General features: G+C 41.7%; 1 annotated feature.

The window, feature by feature from the left end:
* Positions 227–1426: an enhancer, noted in NCBI's record as "MED14-independent group 3 enhancer chr8:32986477-32987676 (GRCh37/hg19 assembly coordinates)". NCBI's record gives its function as "activates an origin of replication core promoter dependent on BRD2, BRD4, P300/CBP and CDK7 cofactors, and independent of MED14, by STARR-seq in HCT116 cells {active_cell/tissue: HCT116}" and the evidence as "EXISTENCE:reporter gene assay evidence [ECO:0000049][PMID:35650434]".

Raw genomic sequence — 5065 nt, 5'->3', positions numbered from 1 at the left:
GTTGTTTAAGGCACTCAGTCTATGAAGTCTTGTTCTAGCAGCCTGAAAACTAAAACAAGCCTCATACATTAGAGCACATTGAACACACAGTGTTTTTGTTGTTGTTTTATTTTTCAGTGCATACACATGAACTCTTGAAATTCATCCAACGAATACTTACAGCATGAAACTAAGTGCCAGATAGTGTGTTCAGTTCTGAAGCTACAAATATAAAAAAAGCTGTATTATCTTCTCTCCAGCAGCTCAGAAACCAGTAAAGACACATGCTATGGTTTGAATGAGTTGCCTCCAAAATCAGGTGTTGCCAATGCGGTAATAGTAAAAGGTGGGGCCTTTGAGAGGTGATTAGGTCCTGCGAGCTTCTTCCTCCAAAGTGGGATTAAGGCCATTATAAAAGAGGCTTCACACCACATTCAGTTAGCTCTTGCCCTCTTGTCTTTCCACATGTGAGGCTGCGGCAGCAACAAGGCGCCCTCTTGGAAGCAGAGCAACCTTCACTGGACAATGAGCCTTCTGGTATCTTGGACTTCTCAGCCTTCAGAACTGTGAGAAAATACATTTTTTTTTCTTTATGAATGTGGGACATAATGAGGTTTCTCTTCAAATGGCCTGATCAATCCTTTATTCTTTAATTCATAGTACCCCCCCCAATGCCTTTTTTCTTTTTCTCTTTTTCTTCTTTTCTGCCTTTGTTACACGCCCAGACATGCCACAGTACCAGGTGTTATCAGTACCAGCTCACATTCCTTTCCTTATTTGGAAAGAAGACTAGCTCTGTGGCTCATTGCAGACACCCTTTCCCTTTTCCCCTCTCTCCCTTACGTGACCACCTTATCTAAAAAAAGTTCAAATGTTTAGCCAACCGGGATTGGTTTAGATTGTACGGCCAGACCCCGGCCAATGGGGAAAGGGTACAGGGGCAGGACTTGCATCAGGAGTAAAGGCTCTCGTGCCCCTTTGTTCAGGTGTGCTCCCATGGTGACTGGCCAAGGAGAAGCACCCCTCTGCGCAGAAGTAAAATTGCTTTGTTAAGAATCCTTTGAGTGTTCAATTTCCTTAGGATTTTGAACGTTATTCCCAACATGAATTACCCAGTCTCAGGTATTTTGTTATAACAGTATAAATGGACTAAGCAACACATAAAAAGAAATGTAATAAGTACAAAAGTGAAAATATAAAAGTAGTGTTCTGGGAACCCAGAGGAGGGTATGGGTATGTGCATGCATTTGTGTGAGACTTAGTCCTGGAGGAGTGGGGGTTCTGGTTTCTACCTCACTTTCTGCTCTGCAATTCACCCTGGCCCTCATTCATTCTGTAAGATATCCAAAATTCATGGTCAGAGCTTGAAGATTTGGGGTTGATTCACATCTGCCATTTATTAGCTAGTGACTTTGGGATAAGTTGTTTTGAGGTTTAGATAATGGATTCAAGTGTTCCTACCCTGTAGAGCTCATGAGGTTTGTTCACAAAAGTCAAAATGAGATCTTGCCTGTTATAGTCTAGTACAAAATGTAAAGCACTATGCCAGTTGTCAGCCAGTGTCAGGAATTTCTCTAATTTGTTAATCTATACCATCTAAACAGGATGGGAAGGTAAGCTTTTATCATAAAGAGCTTGGGTAACTAAATGGCAGACCTATGCATAAATAATGGAATAGGCACACTGGAATGTGTCTAGACTTCAGGGAAATATCAGATCTAGCATGCCAAAGGATCTCATTTGCAAAATGTACTGTCAGTGACCGCGTTGGCAGAAGTGGTGTTGCATTACAGAAGCCTGGCTGGGAGATAAAAAAAGATAAAGGACGGCAAATTGAGTGTGCGAAGGTGGTGTCTGGAAGGGCACCATAGGTATTAGCATTAGATCTCAATTCGATATTACTACTGGTGGACCACAGAAGGAAAAAAACAGGTAATCTGTGAACATGTGAAGAATAGAAATCTGTTAGCTATGACTTAATGCTTATCAATTTAGCATAAAAAATTACATCTGTAAGATGACTTAAAGCTTTCAAAGTATGCTTAAAAAGACCTTCCCCTTATCCTAAGAAGAAAATAAATAAGACCTGATGCTAAACAGTTTGTGTTAGGCATCATCATCCCCATTTTATAAACAAACAAGACCCAGAATGGTTAAATGATTTGCTCAAGAAGACCTCACAATAAAACCAACAAATGAGAAAGGATTTCTGACCTGAAGACCAGTAATTTCGACCAGTTATTTTCATAGAAAATAGGTGGATTTGGAAGGAAACGGAGTTCACTCAGTTGGCTAATTGGATAATAAAGTGAAATGGTAACTTTACAGGAGGAGGGTCCAGTCTGGAAAAGCTATGTTTGCCAATAGGAAACACTTATGACTCTCTTCATTGGGATTAATACTTAGAGTTTCAAGTTTTTCAGTGAATTAAATGGGAAAATAAACCTAGAGTCGGGCTCTATCTCATCAACCTTCAGCCAGACTCAAGGATTTCAGGCAAGGAGGCGGCTGGTTGGCCTTTCCCCGGGCAAGCTCTCTTTCCCCGAGCGGCTGTCTGCAATGCCTGGAGGCTGTTGTCTTTGTCAGCAGTGCTCTGAGAATTTGCCTGAATATAAGAATTCCTCAGGCAGCCCCGGGGAACCTGGCATCTCTTAAAATCCTATCAAAGATGGCTTTTGCCTAAAGCTGTAACTATCTTATAAAAGGCAAGGGAAGAGAGTAGCAATTACCCAAGCGATTCAAGCAAGAGAAATGAATTTGGCCTTCATTTCCTAACTTCTCAGGCGAAAGTCTGTTAGAACTGTGCTTCTCAATTTTCATTGTGTAAAGTATCACCTGGGGATCTTATTAAAATGCAGATTTTTAAATTCAGTAGGTTTGGTGTGGGGGTGGAAAGTCTGAATTTCTAACAAGCTTCCAGGTGATGCTGAAGCTGGTTTGTAAATCACACATTGAGTAGCAAGGTTTTAGAGCATCTTACCCAGGTAGAATTTACCCCGATTTTCCACTTGCTAGCTTTGTGGCAGAGGTTCTCAAAACTTCAGATGCATTAGAACCACCTGAGAAGCATGAAAAAAATGCAAATTTTGACTTGATAGGGTCGAGGGCTTTGCCTTTCTAACAAGCAACTTGCTGTTTCAGGGACTTTAGAGGAAGCACGGGTACCCAGAAATACTCAATGAAGCCAGTCTACACCCTTTGGAGCCACTAAGTCTTAGCTAATGAGAGGTTTCTTTAACTGGGGAAAGGTAACCATATAAAATTCAGTTAACTTCCGCCTATAAATTCAGCAAAACAACATAAGGCTAATGAGAGAGCTTGCATGATTTCTGCATTGCTGGGCAGAGAAAAGGAGTCTCAAATCTTTTCTAAGGGTACCCTGTATAATTTCATTCTGAAGGACCCCAGATATGAAAAAGTAGGAGCAAGCCGAATGCACACCTGAGATCCCAGAAAAGGATTTACAACAGACCCTGAAAGGCCAACTGCCCCAGCAAGAAGTCAGAGGACACATGTAGCCCTATAGCTAAAACTGAGTCATATTTTCTTGTTTTCAGAAACTGCTTCTATGGAAACCCACTAGAAAGGTCTCGGGGTTTCTGCAAGCAGAGATCATTTTGAAAGAGACCTGTTTTTTGATGAAGAATGGACTATTAAGTAGCAATATAAAAGTGAAGAAAATGGACTCATAGTGAAAACAGAATTATGTTCTCCTATGATCTCCTGACTCACGTGCTTAAATGACCTCTTGGGGAAGAAAAGGAATGATGTGGTTTCACCTGCCTGTACTGAACTACAAGAAGTCAAAGGGTGTTGGAAAAAACCAAGGTGGGGCTGAAAGGGCAGTGAATTAGGACCTGGAAGATATCAGTTGCAGTCCTGGCTCAGCCACTATGTGGCTTTGACATTTTGTCTTGTCATTTAACTTCATTGGACCTTCGTGTCCTTCGTCATATATGAGAATGGCATTAAACTAGACTAAAAATAATGTTCCAACTAGCTTGGGAATTCTGTGTTTTCATGACTGCAGTGATTATTTTCTTCTCACTAGAGCTATGACAAACTGAGGACAGCTGGGGGAGAACTTTTATAAACACTGAAGAATTCATTAATGCAAATATGACAGTTGTGTGTGGAGACTTAATTACCTACTTTTCTAATTTCATTATGGCAGAGTTCTTTGCTCTGAAATGCCTTATACTTGAGAATGTTGCTTGCTTGATCTCTCTCTCTCTGTGTCTGTCTGTGTCTGTCTGTGTCTGTCTGTGTCTGTCTGTGTCTGTCTGTGTCTGTCTGTGTCTCTGTGTCTCTGTCTGTGTCTCTGTCTGTGTCTCTGTGTCTCTGTCTGTGTGTCTCTGTCTGTGTCTCTGTCTGTGTGTCTCTGTCTGTGTGTCTCTGTCTGTGTGTCTCTGTGTCTGTCTTTGTCTGACTCTTTGTCTCTCAAGACAGAGTTTCACCTTGTAGTCAAGGCTGGAGTGCATGGCATGATCTTGGGTCACTGCAACCTCCGCCTCACGGTTTCAACTGATTCTTCCGCTTCAGCCTCTCAAGTAGCTGGGATTACAGGTGCCCATCACCACGCCCCGCTAATTCTTGTGTTTTTAGTAGAAATGGAGTTTCACCATGTTGGCTGGGCTGGTCTCGAACTGTTGACCTCAGGTGATTCACCCACCTTGGCTTCCCAAAATGCTGGAATTACAGGCATGGGCCACTGCGCCTGGCCTGTTTCCTATTCTTTCTGATCCAGTCATTGCCACAGACCACATCTCTGACTTCAAAGCATTGAAGTCACAGATCTAAAACAAATTGATGAAATGAGGCCCTATTTTACAATGACCTTTTAATTCGTAGACTTTTCTAGTTTAGAATAGTCACATAATTTTGTGGGTTTTTTCCCCCAAACTCTTATTAACAGATTAATAATTTCTGTATCTTTTAATTCTGGGGCTTGGAAGTTAGACTACAGAATAGATTTGGTATCCCTTAAGGCAGTGGTCCCCAGCCTTTTTGGCACGAGGGATGGGTTTCATGGAAGACAATTTTTCCATGAATTGGGGTGAAGATGGGGGAGGGGAATAGTTTTAGG

Source organism: Homo sapiens, chromosome 8 (genome assembly GCF_000001405.40).
Source record: "Homo sapiens chromosome 8, GRCh38.p14 Primary Assembly".
Taxonomy (NCBI): Eukaryota; Metazoa; Chordata; class Mammalia; order Primates; family Hominidae; genus Homo; species Homo sapiens.
This window is presented reverse-complemented; position numbering and strand designations above follow the sequence as displayed.